Source organism: Homo sapiens, chromosome 8, assembly GCF_000001405.40.
Source record: "Homo sapiens chromosome 8, GRCh38.p14 Primary Assembly".
NCBI classification, from domain to species: domain Eukaryota; kingdom Metazoa; phylum Chordata; class Mammalia; order Primates; family Hominidae; genus Homo; species Homo sapiens.
Window position 1 is genome coordinate 138,212,318 of NC_000008.11, and position 21,439 is coordinate 138,233,756.

Below are 21,439 nucleotides of genomic sequence, written 5' to 3' on the forward strand. Positions count from 1 at the left end.
CTCAGCAGATAGAGTGATGTTGCTGGCCATCACACTGGCAACCGTACTATACAAATATTGCCCCGCTTTTCCCTGCTCTGAAGAGACTGAGGCACAAAAAGGAAATAAGAGGGAAAAAGGAAATAAGAGGGAACTAAAGCCTCCTTTTCCTGCAGTCTCACAAACACAGCTGCCCCTCTGCCTTTTGCTTTTCAGGATTATAGACAGATGATATGCATAGGCTATTTCACAATTGGATTTGCTCACAATGACTCTGCAGACAGCAGATTCTTTAATTAAGGCAACTGAAGTCAACACATCATTCCAGTGTGGAGAATACTTAACAATCCACATTTGAAAATGCTGAATCTATCTATTAAAACATTTATAGATGGCACTTTCATTTTCTAGCATTTTACTTCCATTTGTTCTTCATTAAAAGCAATTCCCCTGACTGTGTGCAATGTTCAGCAATTTTGTTAGCAGTTGGCAAATTGGATTCTTAATATTTAATCTAATTGGGAACAACATTACACAACTCAAACTGAACAAGCAATTTAGTTGTCAGATCATTATAAAACCATAAACACCTTTCTGATGAATGTCTTTACTTTTATAATGTGGCTTGAAGGTCCGATTTTTTAAAAAAAATTACTAGTCTCCAATTTAATGTGTACACGTTTCTTAAAAATTACTAAAGAATCACTATGTGTAATATTTTTTAAAATGTGAGACATTGTCTGTTAAATGAAATGAGCATGAGCTCCACCATCCCATCGGGGTCCACTTAGATTCAGATACTGGCTTTGTAAATTGTAAACTCTGAGATCATGGCTAAGAAGTGACTCCTGAGAGTTCCTGCCTTCATGTGAAAATGCTGAATAGAACTACAAAAACAATATTGGAATGAGATACCACCTACTGGATATGATTGTTGAAAAGATTAAACTTAGAATAAATTAAATGACTGATATGTATTAAGTGCACCGTACGATCACTACGTAAATAGTAGCCACGGTGAATTAAGTAATAAGTATTATTGTCATTATTAGTGTTAATTCTTTCTATTAATATCGTTATAATGCCAACAGCATGTCATCTCATTTTCCCTCATAATTAGACCACAGTCCAGAGTTACAGGAGACAAACAGATGGAGGAATGGGAGAGGATGGCTAAATTCCGTGTGTTGTTTTCAATTTTATGTAATTTCTTTTTTTTTTTTTTTTAACTTGATGTCTTTGACTGCTTTAAGACTTGGCTCTCAGATCTGGCAGAAATAGCTTTTGGAGATAGAATTTTAGCTTGTTAAGGATCAGATGTGGAGAAAGTTTATCTCCCTTGCAAATTGCTGTTTATAGATTTAAGCAAGAGAAGGATGGATTTAAACACTAGAATGATGCAAGAGGTAAAAATAAATGAAAATGGACTGGGGGGTTGTACAAAGGAGGGAAAGTCCAATGAACTCACTTAGAAGTAGAGGGGAAGCAGCAAGCTCCGCTAGGCTGGAACCCACTTAGAGGACAGTATCAAGGAGGCTCCCACAATGAACAGGAGAGCCTGATGGATAGGAGAGCTTCTGTAGCCCTGAAGACTTGTGGCTGGAAGTCTGCTCTCAACCCAACTGGACTCAACATAACTTTTGGTGGTGTTCAGGATGGCTTTGTGGGGGCCTTTCTAACCCAGGGACCAAAGCCTGATCATCCTCCTGTGGTTTCGTGTTGACCTAATTTCTCCAAATCCAGCCTGTTCTGTCCCTGACACCAGTCTCCCATCCCAACACAACTGAGTCTATATTCTATGCCTTCACGTTACCAAATCCATTGCGCAGACAGCCAGGTAATTGCCCCTGGCTTTTTTTCAACAGAGATCCCAGGAAATGAGAGTCTATCTCCTCTTGGGAACTGCTCTGCCATATCCCCGACTCAAATACTCTTACTATTTCTATGCAAAGGTAATAAACAGTTCTATCAAGAATAATTATGATTTGTGTTACTATGAATAGCCATATTTTAGAATTAAGCATAATACACACACATAGTATGCTTAACATGGTGCATGTATGCATTTATTCAAGAATCACTTATTGGGCATTGTTTCTGGACTAGGCACCAAGCTGAACTCTACTAGAAAATGAAAATATTATTTGTGTATGACTTTGGGTTCAAGATCTTTGCAGTTTAGCATGTGAGGGAGCACACAGACTAATGATTTTAGGAGTCTGATAAGTGCTATGATAAATTTATACATAAATGCTATTGCAGCACAAATAAAGATGTCTGCATCATTCTGGGGTCAGTCAAGAAAAACACCATGTAAAAAATAATCCTGTTGTCTAAAATACATAGTTAGCCAGATGGACACATAGGTGAAAATTCCAGGCACCTAGATAAGGAAAAACCTACTGCGGAAGGGAAAAATAAAATTGATACGATTCTAGCAGAAAGTACAAGGTTGAAGCTGAGCTTAGACTCAGAGGCATAAAGCAGTATGAAGGTCTCTCTTATTTGTCATGATGATGCATGTAAGATTCAGCACCTCAAATTAGCCTTAGGTGAAGATGGAGCAGAGGGAAGAGGATCAGAAAAAAATAAGTAAGTTGGGAGTCTGTGCACTGTCTGGATAAGAAGGAATTAGGACATATTTGCAGGCAGTGGAAGAAGGGGAAGAGGCAAAAAAAGCAAAGACACAGTTTGTAGAAATCAGTCACTAACGTAGACATAAGAGAGAAGAAGGGATCGGGGATAATTCTGAGGTTTCCAGTGACTCAGACAACACAGATTTTTCAAAAAGTTTTAGATCCCATGAAGATGGACATGATTAAATATCTAGACATGATTAAATATCTAGAGTCTAACAGCCTGGGCTCAAACCCTAGAACCACCATCCACAATCTACCTAATCTTGGGCCAGTTAGTTATCTCTCTATGCCTAAGTTACCTTATCTGTAAAATGAGGGAAAACTAATAGATTCCTGGTAGGGTGCTAGTGAAGAGCAAATTAGATAACGTGTGCAAGAACTTAATATGGGAGATAGAAAATAGTAAATACTCAAAATAATATTTTAACTGATATTATTCTATTAATTGAAAGTATGGACTCTGATCTGAATGTTGGCCATAGAGCCATTTCCCTTATATCTATAAACTCACCACCATGATCCCTGGAAATAACTATTACATAGCAAAGAGAACATTAGACTTGGAATCTTGAATCTAGCATCTAATATTTACTAGATGAACAATCCTAGGCAAGTCACTTTCAGTCTCTGAGCCTCAGGCTTCCATTCTATGACAGAAGTTAGCAAGTTGCAGAGGCGTTATCAGAAATATTAAATGAAACAAGAGGATGAAAGTGCTTTGGCACAGACAGAACATTATAGAACCCCCAAATCATGTTGCATTAATTGATACATCAATAATAATTGTCAGAAAGTACAACTAAGGCACTTTGGGAAGGTTGCATGGGCACTCCATTCTCCGCACCCTCCTCCCACCCATGAATGGCTCAGATCCTACAAGTGATGCCACGCAAAGATTAGAGAAGCCCCCAGAAGATATTCTGGCAGCCATGAGCAAGCATCAGTTTCTTTGGACATTCTCTCGGGAATGAGAATGAGATCAGCATAGAACAGGATTCTCTGTGCTACCCAGAGAAAGCAATTAATGAGTCCGAGGGGATGGTAAAAGTCAGTGGAAGCGATATTCATTTCCAATAACAAATACCAGAACAAACTATGTTACAGTGAACAGTACAGTGTACATGCTACTACACCTACAGACAAGGAGCCTGTCTGCACATGGAACAATCTGAAGACTTGGTTCCAATAGGGTTTCCTTGTCATATCAACTCCAGGAATAGAAGATCTGCAGTGGAATGGTGGCAGTGAGTTGCTGGTTGCCAATTAAAATCTAAATAACTACAATAACAATTTTTATGAAGACACTACCAATAAGACTTAGAACCGTTGGAGGATAGCTAGATAGAAGAGGACACATCTGATCAATTCTGAGATAAGCTTTCCTCAGACTATCTTTTAATAACATTCACACTCATGATATTTATTGAGTTCTAGGTGCTTACACAGATGCTGAAGGTTATAGCATGAAGGCAGACATTTCTGCCTTCACCAGGCCTTCAGCCTGTAGTGAAGACAGACAACTGTCTGCAGTGAGATTGGCATTGCACTAATGGAGAAAGGGAAAGGATGCAGGTAAGGGGTGCTGGGTAATGCCTGTCTGAGCCAGGAACATTCATTCTGAATCCTAAAGAATGGCCAAGAGAAAGCTTCAAAAAGTCAGTCATCTGATGTGCTGCCTTTCTCACTCATTTGGGCAATAAATACCTGAAGTCGTCTGATGTGTTTATGAACAAGTTGGTGGTTGGAAAGTATTACTGTTTCTAAGCCCCATTTAAGAGCCAGTGATGGGTTGCTCATTAGAGAGTGAAAACCTGCTCTCTAAACTCTGATTAATCCACAGGAATCTTTGACTTGGTAGTCTTTGCAATAAGCATATTCATATAGCCTAACCCATGTTCTTGAAAGACAGCTACAATCCTAACCATCTTATAAAAGGGGAAACGAGGCATGAGGACACATAATAAGTAGGCTACAGAGCTTTCCAGGGCTTTGGGCTGTGGAGTCTACCAGCTTCTTCACTGTATGGTTATGCGACTTTGGTCAAATAGAAACCCTTGTTGCCTTGGTTTCCTGATGCACATGATAGTATAATAATAGTCACCTCGAAGCTGCGAGGGATAAGTGAGATAATCTATGTAAGCATTGCCTGTCACCAAAATGACCAGCATCATCACCACCATCATCAACAGCATCATCACCATTATCTAATGCCTGACGAATATGCCCACTTAGGTCAAGAGTCTGGAAATTTTGTTCAGAATCTATATTTATGTAAATAGTAACTAAATGAAATAATGTGCTTCATGGCTAGAATTATCAATATACTTCTGGATAGTCATATCTAGACAACAAAATGGTATAACTGAAAAAGTTCTTAGCTTAAGAGTGGGAAGAAGTAATTTGGAATTCCAACATTGTTCTCTGTAAGATGGGAAAAAAATATCTCTTGCCTCTAGCCTTCCATGTGAGGCTATTCATTTGTTCTCTGATATATTTCTTTTTTTTTTTTTTTTGAGATGGAGTCTCCCTCTGTGGTCCAGGCTGGAGTGCAGTGGCACGATCTCGGCTCACTGCAAGCTCCGCCTCCCAGGTTCACACCATTCTCCTGCCTCAGCCTCCCGAGTAGCTGGGACTACAGGCGCCCACCGCCACACCCAGCTAATTTTTTTGTATTTTTAGTAGAGACGGGGTTTCACCATGTTAGCCAGGATGGTCTCAATCTCCTGACCTTGTGATCCGCTCGCCTCAGCTTACCAAAGTGCTGGGATTACAGGCGTGAGCCACCATGCCCGGCCGATATATTTCTTTATACAACAGCATTCAGTGAGTTTCCTCCTATGCGTGAGGCGCTGAGGATGTATCAGTGTTCATGAACTACCTGGTCCTTTCCTTCACGGAGTTTTTGTAGCAGTGGAGACAAAGTAGGAAGAGAAAAAGTTGAATGTTACTATGAAACAGCCATGGGATGAAGACAAGATACTGGAGGGATTCTTTTAGGCCATCTCATAAATGTAAGGAATTCTTATTTCTGTATCAAAAATTACCTCTGTCTTCCAAACAATGAAACTATTAATGGAAGTCATATTTAACTCCCACCTCTTCACACTAAGTATAATTGGTAGACTTTAATGGGTGAAAATTTAGTATTTATGGAAACATGATAACTAAGATGACTTCCAAATGTGTGAGCAATGAGACTTTAGGGGAAAATAAAAATGGAATCCATGTAGATGCAGTTCTTGAATTAACCAAAAAATGTCTGTGCATATGAGCAAAGATAGAAATAATTCTACTTCTATTACTTCTAATTAAAGCTCTACTAAAAATAGTGAGAAAAATAAAAGCAGGAGAAGGAAAAAGATGAGAGCTACCATTTATTCAATATTTACCATAAGTCAATCACTCTACACATTAATCATGAGAACGACCATAGAAGTCACATGGGGATAGCAATATGTCCTGCTCACAATCACATATTAATTTAGTGCAATACCAATATAGAAAATAGTGAAGAGTTCAGAATTATAGACATGGGTTACAATTTGAGCTCTAATAATTTCCCTTAGAAAAGATTCCTGGCGTCTCAGATCCCCTGTTTGCTCCTTTACAGAGTGGGACTCATACTTAGAAATGTTCATGGATGTTAGAAAAGTTAAAAAGATGATGTTTGCAAAAACTGAATATACAGCACAGAGTTGCTCAATAGATATCCCTCCTCCTTTCTTTTTACATGGGCAGTGGATTTCTTGCCTTCTAAGGTTTGCTACAGGCCACTCTAGAGACCCTGTTCAATGCCCTGCTCCTCCCAAACTTACACGCACACACACACACAGAGAGAGAGAGAGAGAGAGAGAGAGAGAGAGAGAGAGGGAGAGAAAGAGAGAGAGAGAGATTTATGAATAGAATGTTGTCCCATCAGACAAGGCAACGCAGCCAGGAAACTGCTTACCAGGCACCAGTAAAATACTCCGCAAGAAAATGAAATTGAACCAAAATAGAAAATAAAACTATTTCTAAAATTCCAACAATAAAATTAGGTTGAAATGAGTTGAATGCATTTGCAGGTGATGATAAATATCATGTGCCTACTTACCTGGCTAACCCAGTGAGAGCTGTATCTGTAACTGCCATTAATAACCACACATCTGAACACTAGTAATTTGGTCTCCATGGAAACAGAAGGTACTATCTTCACTACTGTTCATAGATGGATCTTTTATTATTTCAATATTTGAAAAGTGATTTTTCAAGATGATAGAAACTGTAAAATATATTCAATTATGCGTAACATGGGAGATAGGAAGTGGGGAGTTTCAAATACGCCTTTGGTTTTGCTTATTTTTCAGGGAGAAAAGAAAATGACACTGATGGGGAGAACAGGTTGATATTTTAGAAGAAAGGATCACAATTCCTAGATCTCCTGTAACTTCTAACATTGTTAAACCTGGAACCTGTCCCTGGCAGCTTTCATCGTAGGGGTTGATTTGCTGCCTTTAGTCATTTCACAGAAGTCCACCAGGTACCAATAAATGCCCAGAACCCCAGTGAATTAAGGAAGGCCACTCGGCAATCACCCAGTGAGGATCATAAAATCTGCGTAAATATTTGAGATGGGGATTGAGAAAATAACAAAGAAGCATGGTCTAAGATACCAAATGGACCAGGCCTTCCTATTCCTCCACTAGTTAAAACAGAAAACCAGGGTCATCCTTGTATGTTCTTTCCCTCTCACCCAGACGTGTTCATTCTCTCTCTTAAATGACTCACTTTACCTCTTAAATGACTCACTTTACCTCCCTCCCCCATTTCCTATTGCATTAGCACGGATCAGGTTCTCCCTTGGAATAATCCAAATGTGTTTTTACTAGTCAGCTCTTTCCCTCTAGGAACTCATGTTCTGGTAGAAACAGAAACAGATGCACAGGTGCTTGTGATAAGCAATTCATATGAACTATTCATAGACAACAGCTAATGAAAGGCTGACCTCCTGCCCTGGATTATCTCATGGATTTTAATATATTAACTCATTTTTTTCTCACCCCAAACATACTGATTGTTCTTGTTAATATTATTTCTATTTTACAAATGCTTTAACTCATACACAAATAGGGTGATTTGCCTAAAATCACACACACACACACACACACACACACACGTGCTCATGTGCAGAACTTAACAAAGCAGAGAGCAGAGCATAAGCAATCTGGGTCCAGTGCCCCATGGTGAGAACTAAAGCAGGTATATAACTTGAAATGCTTGGGTTGCCAAAAGGTGACAGTATTTCAAGAAGTATTCTCTTGATTGGGTCACCTTTCTAGCCAGGAGTCGAGGATAGGCTTGCTGTTTCTTTCTGAGCCCTAGGCAAGTGTAATTCAAATGTCACTCTAATCAGCAGCTGAAGTACCACCCTCTCCTCTGGGGCACCTTGGGAAGGTCCTACGCATCAACTGCTAGTGAGAGGCAAAAAGCATCGTTGTTGAGCCTGGAGCCTCTGAAGCCACACTTCCCAGGTGTGTGTCCTGCACGACTGCTTACCAGCTGGTTCCTTGACCTTTCTGGGCTTCAGTTTCTTCATCTTAAAAATGAGATTATTAATGACCTGCCTTATAGGTGGACACTTCATTTAAATGAGTAAATAAATGCAAAGAGCCTAGAAGCATATCTAACGCATTGTAAGTGCTTGGTAAGTATTGATGAAGAAGAGGGTGAGGGGGATGGTAATGATGCTAGTGGTGGTGATAACAAAATTGAAAACGGCTATCACTTCTATACCACAAGAACTCCCCCCAACTATTTCGAGTCCTGTGTTCATATTGCCAGTGTAAATTTCATCTCATGGTTTATAAGAAAATAGGAAATAGAACAACAACTAACTGCACATATATAAATGTTCAAAAGTCTCATATAAAAAGGAGAGTAAGAAGCAAGGGACCACTGCCTCAGCCAACAAGGAGAAACAAATGTACTCACCCACGTGAAATAACTAAAATATAGATAAGACAGCTGAGCAAGTTTTTCAGGCTTTGGATATCAGGCTGCATAGACTAAAAACGAAGTGAGACCTACTATTGTTTATTCTAATATACTTCCTGAAGGGAGTTTCTGGGCCATGATGCAGAAAGATGAAACCCAGGAAATTTCTAGCTGACTCTTTGTATTAGTCTTTTCTTGCATTGCTAGAAAGAAATGCCTGAGACTGGGTAATTTAGAAAGAAAAGAGGTTTAATTGGCTCATGGTTCTGCAGGCTGCCCAGGAAGCATACTGGCTTCTGTTTCTGGGGAAGCCTCAGGAAACGTACAATCATGGAAGAAGGAGAAGGAGAAGCAGGCACCTCTTAGATGGCAGGAGTAGGAGCAATAGAGAGAGCAGGGAAGTGTCACACGCTTTCAAACAACCAGATCTCCTGAGAACTCACTCACTATACAGCACCAAGGGGGATGGTGCCAAATCATTCATGAGAACTCTGCCCTCATGATCCAATCACCTCTCAGCAGGCCCCACCTCCAACACTGGGGATTAGAATTCAACATGAGATTTGGTGAGGACACGGATTCAAACCATATTACTCTCAGATTTGAGAAGACAGAATGCAAATTGCAGGGAGTTTAGGTGGGCTAGAGTTCACAGGACAGAGTACTGAATAGGAGAGCCAAGGAAACAATTCCCAGAGCTCACCCAGGACTGAGAATTAACTGACGTATCAGAATGAAAAACCTCATAATTCATGGAATATTGAGGAGAAAACTCAGAAGGAGATTACCTCAGTGATTGGGTAAAATTAGCCTAGAGTAAAAGCTGCTCTGATCCCACCGAACAAATCTTAAAAAGCAAGCTTTGGAAAGATCAGATTCCAAGTAACTTAACCACATCCAATTACAAAGCTAAAGAATGCATATGTATATATGAGTGTGCACACACACGCACATGCGCACACACCCACACATATCCAGCCCTGAAAAATATAAAACCACAATGCCTATCATTGAATACAAAACTACTAGGCATACAAATAAGCAGGGAAACGAAATACATGTAAAGAGAAAAATCAATCAGTAGAAACTAATTCAGAAACGGCAGCAATGATAGAGTTCTCAGCAAGGACAGGTGCAAAGAGAAAGAAGATGATGTAGAGAGTGGGAGGTGGAGATGTGGAAGACAGAAAAGAGGAGATGGAGAGAGAGAGAGACGGGAAGCCGAGAAAGATGGAGAAACAGAAGGACAACTGAGAGGTAAGGGGATAAACAGAGAAGCCATGTAAGTAAGGAGAGAGATGCCTGGAGAGAAAAGGCAGATACAGGAGGAGGAGCAGGTAGTGGCAGATAAAAGGGGTATAACAGGATGACAGAAAGGGGGTTGAATGGCAATCGCCTGCCCACTGCTTCTTAACTCTTATCACAATTGCAACTCATAACTAATTGGTGCAATTATCTATTTATTCTATATATGCCCCCTCCCCAAAGAAAAACTTCCCCACCAAAGCCCTGTCTGTCCATAAAGCCAGGATATCATCTGTTTTATTCACTGCAGTTTTACCAATGATTCACACAGTCCATTGAATATAGCAGGGTGGCCCAAAGTTACTGAATATATTAAAGAAGGGGACAAATATAACTGTTATTTTACTGACCAGGCTGAAGAGGTTCAGTAACTTGCTCAAAGACAAAAGCTAGTAAGTAGAATAGTTATATTTAGATGTGGTGGGGTTTTTTGTTTGTTTGTTTGTAGGATTTTTGTTGGTGGTGTTTTTTTTTTTTTTTTTTTTTTTAATTCTGAGCCCAGGATATTCCTTAGAGTCAAAAAAACAAAATGAATTTTTAAAAAAGATTCTGAAAAGCAACCCATGACATGTCTTTAACTGCTCAATGAATAATTATTCTTAAATTATGGATTATATTTTCTCAAGAAGGACAACTGTGAGTACAGACAGTTCAGAGTCTTTACCCTACATTTAGGAGAAAGACACATTGCCTTCTGCAACTGCAGGTAGGGCTGAGACAATGGAATGGACAAGGCTTGGCTGTGTAGGAGGCTACTGTCGGGGACATGAGCCTCCTCCAACTGTGAACTGGGTCCTTTTCATGTTCAGATTCCAAGATTAGGTACACAGGTGTTAGAGGGTGTCTGCCACACTGGTCTTCTGTAGCTTCTCTACTTGTGTCACACAGGAACAGTTAGTTTCTATTTCTGAACCTCCGTTTTCTTGTTCCGAAATGTCAGTGGTGATTTCTCCCTCTAAGGGTTATCACGGGGTTAAACAGGAGAGAACAACAAAATCCATGTGGCAATGACTATTCCACCAGGGCCCATTTATGAGAAGCCTGTTAGTCTGGAAATGTACAGTGAAGAATAAACTACTTCACCCAACACTTGTAGTCCAGGAGCTCTTGACTACAGAGACTGGCAAGAAAATAAGCAGTGACAATGAACTGTAACCGTTGAAATGATAGGAGTGAGCAAAAAGATATTTGGGTCCCAAAGAAGGGCCTCCTAAACCAGCCAGGAGTCAGGCAAGAGGGTGGGAAGTAGATTAGGACTTTGGAGGAAAGAATGCTTGTGCAGAGTCCTGTAGGAGCAACAAGAATTCCTAAGATAAAGAGGATCCTGAAGGGTATCCCAGGCATAGGAAGCAGCCTACAAACAAGTGGGAAACTGAGAAAGATCATGTGTTCTTAAGGATCCTTTGGCATGGATTGAAGGATAGAGGTGGCCAAGACTCTAAGTTCATTGAGTATTAAACAATGACAGACACATATCTTACTCAGAGCATTGTGCACTAGTATTGCAGAAATGTGTTAAACTCACATGTTCTTCGCAGCACTATTCACAAGAGCAAAGACACGGAATCAACCTAAGTGCCATCAATGATGGATTAGATAAACAACATGAGGTCCATATACAACGTGGAATACTATGCAGCCATAAAAAATCACAAAATTATTTTCTTTGCAGCAACATGGATGCAGCTGGAGGCCATTATCCTAAGCAAATTAACACAGGAACAGAGAAATGTCACATGTTCTCACTTTTAAGTGGGAGCTAAACATTGGGTACACATGGATATAAAGATGGTAAGAATAGAAACTGGGGATTACTAGAGGACGGGGGTGGGGGGCAAGGGTTGAAAAATTAACTGTTGCATACTATGCTCAGTACCTGGGTGACAGGATCAACTGTACCCCAAACCTCAGTATCATGCAATATACCCAGGTAACAAAGCTGCACATGTGCCCCCTGAACCTAAAGTAAAAGTTGAAAAAGATAAAAATAAAAAAGCTAAAGCTAGGGAAATACCACGGTTGAAGAACATTGATAATTGCAGACCAAAGAATTGACAGCACTCTGTAGTTAGCACATTCAGGAAGGCATAGGTGTCCAGCTGAGATGGAACAATGCAGAAAGTCATCCAGCATCAAATACAGAGCAGAACTCATGCATGCACACATGCACACGCACACAGACAACGCAAGAGGGGCTAGAGAGAACCAAGACCAAAACATTTTTATTTATTTATTTTTTTTGAGACAGAGTCTTGCTCTGTCGCCCAGGCTGGAATGCAGAGGCCCGATCTCGGCTCACTGCAACCTCCGCCTAACATTTTTAAAGATATATGTGACTAAAGGTTCCACATCATTGAGTAACAACTAGCATGGAAGAATAGTACTACACTGTAGCTATACCTAAACAGTTAAAATACAACTATTATCTGGTTAGCATATGTTATGGACTTGATGTTTGTGTCTCCCCAAAGTTCGTATGTTGAAGTCTTATTCGGAGGTAAGGCCTTTGGAAAGTCATTAGAGTTGGATTAGGTCATGAGGATGGGACCCTCATGATGAGGTTAATACCCTGAAGGACATTATTAAATAGGCCAGACACAGAATACACAAATCCTGCACGATCTCAGTTATATGTGGAATCTAAAAAAAGTCAAACTTGTAGAAACAGAAATAGAAAGGTGTTTATTAGAGACTGGCTGGGCAGAGGTGGGGAGAACAGGAAAGGCGGGGATGGAAAAAAAAGGACAAATTGGTTCAAGGATAACAAAGTTTCAGTTAGCCTGAAGGAATAAGTTTTAATGATCTATTGCACTGCATGGTGACCACAGTTAATGATAATGTATATTTCAAAATTGCTACAAAATAGATTTTAAACATTCTTACCACAAAGTAAAGGATAAGTTGGTGAGTGACAGATTAGATAGATATGTTAATTAGCTTGATTTAATCTATACAAAGTATACATAGATCAAAAGAATTACACTGTATCCTACAAAAATATGCAATTATTATTTGTCAACTAAAAAATAAATAGAAAGAAAATTAGATTGAAGAACAACAAAATAGGAAAGATATGGATCTCTCTTTGCTCTCTGCCATGTGAAGGTACAACAAGAAGGTAGCCATCTGCAAGCCAGGAAGAGAGCCCTCACCAGACACTGGGCTTGTAGGTGCCTTGATCTTTGACTTCTCAGTCTCCAAGACTGTGAGAAATAAATGTCTGCTATTTAAGCCAAAAAAACAAAAAAAAAACAAAAAAACAAAAAAAACAAAAACAAAGAAGAAAAAGAAAAAAACTTTTTCAATTCTCAGGTGCTGTGTAGGTGTGTGTGTGTGTGTTGTGCAGGGGTTGGGCAGAGAATAGACACCTACACTGTTGGAGGACAAATGGTCTTACATCAGAGTCAGACACATAGATTAAGGTCCACATAGTTTAATAAGGCACTGCTCTTAGGAGAAAATGATTGAGGGACCAAGTTAGGTCAGGGCAGAAGCTAAGCAAGGATGTATTTTCTACTAATAATTGGGTTAAACTTGAGACAAGGGGTGGGCAGTCTTCCACACCCAGGTGTCAGGCAGTCATGAGTTGTGAGCAGGGATGGGTGAAGTTCTGAGCTTTCAACACCAACCCTCATAGCAGCTGGCAGGGTGGTGGTGCATGGTTCCTGTAAAGGAGATCTGTATACTATGCCCAGAGGAGGGAGGAGTAAATTTCAGTTATATTGAAGGTGTATGCTCATTCCATAGGGGCCTAGCAGAACCTGGAATTCATGTTTAATTAGAAGAGGAGAGAGTTTATAAGGAAATAGTATTAGAGCCCAGTTTTAGAGGTGGATAACTTATTATTCTTATTATCTTATATAACAAGTCATCAAGAAAAATTAGCAGATAAAGTACCTTGAAGTTCTAAAAAAATACAATTTTCTGGGGACCCACCGTGTGTGTGTGTGTGTGTGTGTGTGTGTGTGTGTGCGCGCATGTCATTTTTTTTTTCATTGATTCTGCAAACAAATATTGAGCATTAGTTTATGTTGAACACTATGGTAGGTCATGGAGACACCATGATGAACAAGAACATCTTTGAAACCTGCCCTCATAGAACACAGAGTCACTGTTGTAAACTAAGACAAATGCACAAAAGGAAAGGAACAGAATTCTGTTACAATGTATGCTAAAGGAACCTGACAAACCTAGGAGTCAGGAAAAGCTCTCCCAAGGAATTCACGTTTAAACTGATCTGAAGGATGAGTAACGCCAAAGAGTAGGGGTTGTCCAGGAAGTGTGTGCAGCATGTGCAAAGGCCCTGTGGTTGCACAGAGCCTGGCTAACTCAGGGCTTTTTGTGTGTGTTTGTTTTGTTTTTGAGATGGAGGCTCACTCTGTCGGTAGTGGAGGCTGGAGTGCAGTAGTGTGATGTCAGCTCACTGCAACCACCACCTCCCAGGTTCAAGCTATTCTCCTGCCTCAGCCTCTCAAGTAGCTGGGATTACAGGCATGCACCACCATGCCCAGCTAATTTTTATATTTTTATTAGAGGTGGGGTTTCACCATGTTGGCCAGGCTAGTCTCAAACTCCTAACCTCAAGTGATCTGCCCACCTCAGCCTCCCAAAGTGCTGGGATTAAAGGCGTGTGCCACCACACCGAGCTAATTTTTATATTTTTAGTAGAGATGAGGTTTCACCATGTTGGCCAGGCTGGTCTCAAACTCCTGACCTCAAATGATCTGCCTGCTTCAGCCTCCCAAAATGCTGGGATTGCAGGCGTGAGCCACCACACCCAGCCCTAACTCAGGGCTTTCTATACAGAGCCTGGCCTCTCCAGAGCATGCTCCATGACAAACTGTCCTGCCTTCAGCAGGAAAGATATGTTCTTTTCCATGTGGCCCCAGCTCCCAAGTTCACAACTGATCAGATCAGGGCAGGCACGTGACCCAAGGGCAGCTAATCCCTAGGATGTCCAGTGACCTTTGACATGGCTGTTGCTAAAACCTCTGCTCAAATATGGATGCTCATCTTTGCCCTAGTCAAACCAATTATCCTCTTTAAAAGTGTTTTCTGGGAAATAATAACAAAGTCAGCTATTTGGGAGTGGTGGAGCGAAATAATTAAATACAAAATGAATCTGCAAATCAAGGGCAGCCCACGCAGTTGACAATGGCACATTAGTAGGGACATTCATGAATAGGATCCTATCCAGCCCTGCTGGGACCTGCCTTGGATCCAGAATTTTTTACTCCAATTAGCAAAACTCCAGGCATACAACTGCTCCTACGTTTGGCATGCTATGAGAGTCCTGTTACTTGTTTTCTTAAATTTATTATTGATAGCTTTATTGGGGTATAACTGACATACAAAAACTGCACAAGCTTAATGTATACAGTTTGGTGAGTCTGGGCATATGCACATGTTCATGACACCATCACCCCAATCAAGGAAACAGTCACATCCATCACATCTAGAAGTTTCCTTGTGCTTTCTGGTGTGTTTTAATTTTGTCTCTCTTTTTTTTTTTTTTTTTTTTTTTTGGTGGTGGTGGTGGTAGTTGTTTTTTGGTAAGACCACTTAATATGAGGTCTGCTCTCTCAACAAATTTTTAAGTGTACAATACAGTATTGTTAGCTCTAGGCATTATGTTGTACAACAGATTTCTAGAACTTATTCATCTTGCATAATTGCAAGGTGAACTGCAATGAAAAAATAACTGCATATTGTCATATGTCTCTGCAGTACATCTTTAATCCTGCTATCAAGGCAACCTAATAGAATATGCAGAAGGTTGTACATTATAGCTTCTACTGCCTTCTTCATACACACAGAAAAGCATCCGTTTCTGAGCCATGCATGTGACTGCATTCTGACCCTGTCTTGGGCACTTTATGTGTGCATTGTCTGTAGCTCAAAGAGGTTAAATGATGAAATCAAGGACTAGGGTGACTAGGACTAAATTTGGACCTACGTGTTTGACTCCCAAGTCTATCCCTTTTGGACCATTCCAAGAGACCTCAGTTGGAGGTAGACATCAGAATCATGGGGTAATATTTTTTTTTACTGCTATCCAAACTTCACTCTCGCTGGGCTGAATCGGAATCTTTAGGTGTAGGGCTGAGGTTTGCATAATTTAAGAGACTCCCCAGAGGATTGTGATGTGCACTCCTGGTTAATAACTATTGCATCACCCCCAGCTGCAGGAGCGGGTGTTTTCTGCCTATTCCCTGACACCATATTCAAGGTTGTTTACCACTACTGAGCTGCTAAGAAGTGCAAATTTGTTGCACTTCTGATGTTTATTCCTATGTTAAAGAATACAAGGAGATCTTTGAGGGTGTGGAGCTTGAGAGACATATGTTGGTGGGGAGCGGACCTGTGTTTGACAAGGTAGGTTTCACAGGCTGAGCTGAACGACAGATTCCCCTGAGCCGGCTTACTGGGAGTGTATGTCATATACCCCACAACTTCTGGTTGCTCTTCGGAATTGACTTTTCTTCCTCTTAAACCTCAAGCAGTATCATCAGGCCAGCATGGGACTTAGGAAAAGGAGGAAGACAGGAAGAGGACAGCAAGGCTTGCAAGCGCTGCCTGCAATGCAGTGCAAGGCCCTGATGCCCCCTGGTTCCCAGGATTCTCTCCAGCCATCCGGCTGCAGCATCTGTTCTTCCTGGGCCAGCTACAATTTCAGACTGGGGACAGAGAAGCAGGGGTATCCAGTAAATAGGTATGAAGTAACCTGTTAGTCTGCTGATTGGGTTCCAAACAGAGCACAGCCGCTTTTGCATTGACTGCTTTATCCCTCCTGCGAAGCGCCCGTGTTTCCCTATATGAACACTCACACGTGTGTGTGTGTGTGTGTGCGTGTGTACACCACACTCACATGGAAATCGGCAATGCTGTCAGCACAATGCTGTTTGGTCAGTTTCTGGCTGTCTTCATTACTAAGAGCAGTCATTTAAGGAGTTTTATGAGGTTTACACCATTGCATCTTCCCTCCATGCATTGCCCCTGCTGTGTCCTACTCTTTGGCACCTTCTTCATGGGGCCTGCTAGAACCTGAGTCTGAAGGACTCATCTCCAAGTGTGTCTGGGCGTGGCATTGGACACCTTCTATGATCTGACCCATCTCCCATTAAAGCTCACAAAGCATACACAGTCTCAAGACTATAATACAGATGTTAATGATGTCTTGCACATCAGACTCCCAGTCTTCAATAAATATGGTCCTTTCATCTAGGGCGCCTTTCCCCAGAGACCCATAGTTATAGTCACAGTAGGTTAGACAGTGCTGAAGTAACAAACGACCCTAAACTCTCAGTGTGTAACAACACAAAAGCTGAGTTATCACTGTGGAAAAGGCAGCCTTTGTGGGCAGTTTTACGAAAAGCAGGGAGTCAGTGTTTCAGCCCTTCCATTTTGTGATGCTGCCACCTTTAACACACACCTTCTGTATTAGTCTGTTCTCATGCTGCTATAAAGAACTGCCCGAGACTGGGTAATTGAGAAAGGAAAGAGGTTTAATTGACTCCCAGTTTCACATGGCTGGGGAGGCCTCAAGAAACTTACAATCATGGCAAATGGCACCTCTTCTCAGGGTGACAGGAGAGAGAATGAGTGCTGAGAGAACGGGGAAGACCCTTATAAAACCATCAGCTCTCGTGAGCACTCACTCACTATCACAAGAACAGCATGGAGGAAGCCACCCTCATGGTTCAATTATCTCCACCTGGACCTGCCCTTGACACTTTGGGATTATTACAATTCAAAGTGAGATTCGGGTGTGGACACACAGCCAAACCATAGAACCTTCCAAAGGCACCACAGAAAGAGGTGGAGAGTAGCACATAAAATATTTTTCAGGGATGAGATATGTATCCACTGGCTAGAGTCCAGACACATGACCCCAAACTAACTACAAGAAAGGCTCAGAAATGGGTCTTCAATTGTGCATGTAAAGATGAAATGGGAATACAGCCAATCTCTGCCACCACGGTCATTCTGATCAGCCACAATCTATTTCACTCTTTTTCCACACCTAGAGTAACCACATTCAAGGGGAGCAGCCCTAGGCTCATGAAGTCCCAGCTCCATACTGAAACTGCAGAATCCCTGAGTGATGGGTGCTGGGTTGGCATTAGGTCTGGAGGTGACTCTTTTACGTCCAACAACCTAAGACCTGGACATATAAATTCACTACCCTTCAGAATGTACAATACTAGAAAAATAAGAGGATAACTGACAAAATCACTCCCATTAGGAGGAATAGAGAAAAGCCTCACTCATAGCAGCCATGGGTCTACAGTAGTTCTCAAATGCTGCTGGGAAGGCAAATTGAAAGCCCTCTACTGCAGCTGGGAATGGACTCATGGTTAGACACAAATTCTGCTGCTGGTTGGAATTCCTTGTTCCATGCCCCTGGACTCACGTAAGCTGTGCCCGCTGAGTCTCCTTCTAGGAGACTGTTCACCATTATTCTTATTCTTATTGGAATGTTCTGAGGTAGACAGTGGGAACATGACACTTTGGGGACTATATGTTTTTTAAAGCCTACCTCTTGCCCTACAGCACCAGAGGCCAAAGGGTTGATAACAGTCTTAAAGAGTCAAATATTCTTGGAGTCCAAGTTGGTAGTTTCCTTGACAATATAATTTTGTTTAAAAAACTGATTAGGCTGTCAATCTATCTGTTTCTGGTCTCCTAGTAAACACATTCAAAGTTTTAAAATCTGCTTTGTTGCTTGGCTCTTCATGTGCAGGTTACATGAAGTTACTTTTTCAAGAATTTCTAATTTATTTTATTATTTTATTTTTATTTTGTTTTATATTTGTTTAGTATTTATTTATTTTGAGATGGAGTCTTGCTCTGTCACCCAGGCTGGAGTGTAGTGGTGCAATCTCAGCTCACTGCAACGGGGTTCAAGCAATTCTCCTGCCTCAGCCTCCCAGTGCTGCTGGGACTACAGGTTCATGCCACCACACCCAACTAACTTTAATATTTTTAGTAGATACAGGGTTTTGTCTTGTTGGCCAGGCTGGTCTCAAACTCCTGAACTCAAGCAATTTGCCTACCTCAACCTCCCAAAGTGCTGGGATTACAGGTGTGAGCCACTGCTCCTGTCCTCAAGACTTTTTTAAATAGCTAATTTGTAAACTCCGTGAGAGTAGGGACCAGGCAGACTTGTTCACCACCAACACACTCATCCTCACACCTGAGGGGTTTAACATAACCGTTGTCCACATCATATCAGTGCAAAATAAATGGCTTAGACTCAGCTTCACTAACTGCAAAAAAGAGCAAACACTAATATAACATTTTATTAAGGAGATACCTATTTCTCTGATGACTCCGTGCTAGGTGCAGAATGTGACAGATATGGCTTCCAACTTACCAGGAATATGAAAGGAGGTGAGCAGGTGAAAAGTGACTCAAAGTGGACAAAAGACAAGTGTTGGACACAGTCAGATCTGGAGTCACATCCAACCCTGCCAGGAGCTGTCTGATCCTGGCCAATTTGCTTAAGTTATTAGAGCTCTAGTTTCTTCAACTATATAATGTGAGTATATTCAGGAAGGTGTGAGGAGGCATATTAAAAATATCCAGCCGAGAGCCAAACATAAATAAATGCTCACTACATTTACCTAACATACTTATGTTACAAGATCCATGGGTTTGTAATGTCACCATCACGGCATCCCTGGGTGGAAGAATGGGGAAAGGAGAAAAAAGAGGGTGGGGAGAAAGGGATTCCCCAAAGGGGAAATACCTTACCCTTCCTGAGTCCCAGACAAATCTTATAGGTTAAGAAGATTTCATCTTCCCATTAAGAAAAGAAGAAGAAACAAAGGATCTGAATGGTTAAACGGCTCACTCAAGCTCTCACAGTTAATCCATGGGAAAACCCAAGATTAGCCCTACCAGGTTTCCTTACTCCAAGGCCACTATTCTTGCTCTATGCCCTGCTGCTCTGTCACCTTGTACTCACTCAGTATGTATCTACTTCATGTCTGTCATGCACCATGAGCCATGCTGGGCACCAAGGACATAGTGGGGGGGAGCCCTGGACTGTCTGGGAAGGAATTCCAGTGCCTCATTGTCACCATGTGACATCTCCATCATGCCCAGAAATACTGGTGTGGAGCATGGCTTCAGAAGGCAGACAATGTGGAACAAGGCAATTTTCAGTAATAAACTAGGGTGGTCTATAATTTAGCAATACTGTAGACCTTTGCATTAAAGAACCATTTTTATTGATTTATATGATTCATGAAAATGAACTGTGGAAATATGTTGGATTCATATGCAGATTGATGTAATGCACCATTTACTCAAAGCCCCCCTTAGTGTGTGTATGGTATGGCAACTTGTATTTATCTTGCAGGATTTTATTAAATCAAGCAATCATTTAAAAGATAAATTTTAAAATTTTGTAATTTTAATGGGGGAAAGTGCAAAAGTGCTTGACATCTTAATTCTTAAAATAGTAAAAGTTATGAAGTACAGTTTTTTAACTATAAAACTTTTTTCTTTAAATAACTTGTGTTTTTATGTTTTCTTGGTAACTTATTTTTTATTTCATTTTTTAAAATGCCAGTAAAAACTTTTAATTTGAAATCTATCCTCTTAACAAAATTGTAAGTGTTCAATACAGTATTTTTAATATAGGCACAATGTTGTACAGCAGATATCTAGAATTTATCCATCCCATATAACTAAAATTTTACACCCATTGAACAGCAACCTCCCACTTTCCTCTTCACCACTGTCAACCACTATTATACTATCTTTTTCTATGAGCTTGACTATATTAGATACCTCCTATGAGTGGAATCCTGTAGTATTTGTTGTTCTGTGACTAGTTGATGTCACTGAGCATAGTCCTAAAATTCATATGGAATTACAAATGATCTCAAATAGCCAAAGCAAACTTGAGAAAGAAGTACAAAGCTGCAGGCATCACACTTCCTGATTTCAAAATATATTGCAGAGCTACAGTAATTAAAACAGTATGGTAACAGCATAAAAGCAGATATATAGACCAACTGAATCAAATTGCAAGCCCATCTAAACTCACCAAATTGTAGACGCTAAATATGTATAGGTTTTATGCCACTCATACCTCAATAAAGTGGTTTTAACATAATAATAGAAAACTAAGAAATGAACCAACTCATATACAACTGATCTTGGATAAGGTGTTAAGAGCACACAATGGGAAAATGGCTGCCTCCGCAACAAATGATGATGGGAAAACTGGATATCCACACATAAAAGAATGACATTGTACCAATATCTTACACCATATACAACAATCAACTCAAATGGATTAAACACTTAAACGTCAGACCCAAAACTGTAAAACTCCTAGAAGAAAACATAAGGGGAATGCTTCATGACATTAATCTTGGCAATGATTTCTTGGATATGACACCAAATGAACAGCAAGGAAAGCAAAAATAGATGAGCAGGACTACACAAAACTAAAAAGTATCTGCACTGCAAAGGAAACAATCAACAGAGTGAAAATGCAACCTGCAGAATGGAAGAAAAATATTTGC

General features: G+C 40.6%; 1 protein-coding gene across 16 annotated transcripts in view; it reads right to left on the reverse strand.

Annotated features, from left to right (window-relative positions):
- The window catches only part of FAM135B (family with sequence similarity 135 member B), a 367,708-nt gene that overhangs the window by 82,295 nt on the left and 263,974 nt on the right, over window positions 1-21,439 (reverse strand). The window contains exon 1 of one of the 16 annotated variants that reach the window (XM_011517072.3): window positions 5,373-5,457. The exons of the other annotated variants lie outside the window; for them this stretch is intronic. Coding sequence (XP_011515374.1) covers window positions 5,373-5,438 — 66 coding nt within the window. The 5' untranslated portion in view covers window positions 5,439-5,457. Of the gene's footprint in view, window positions 1-5,372; window positions 5,458-21,439 lie in introns of those variants that run through there. 16 annotated transcript variants of the gene reach the window in all.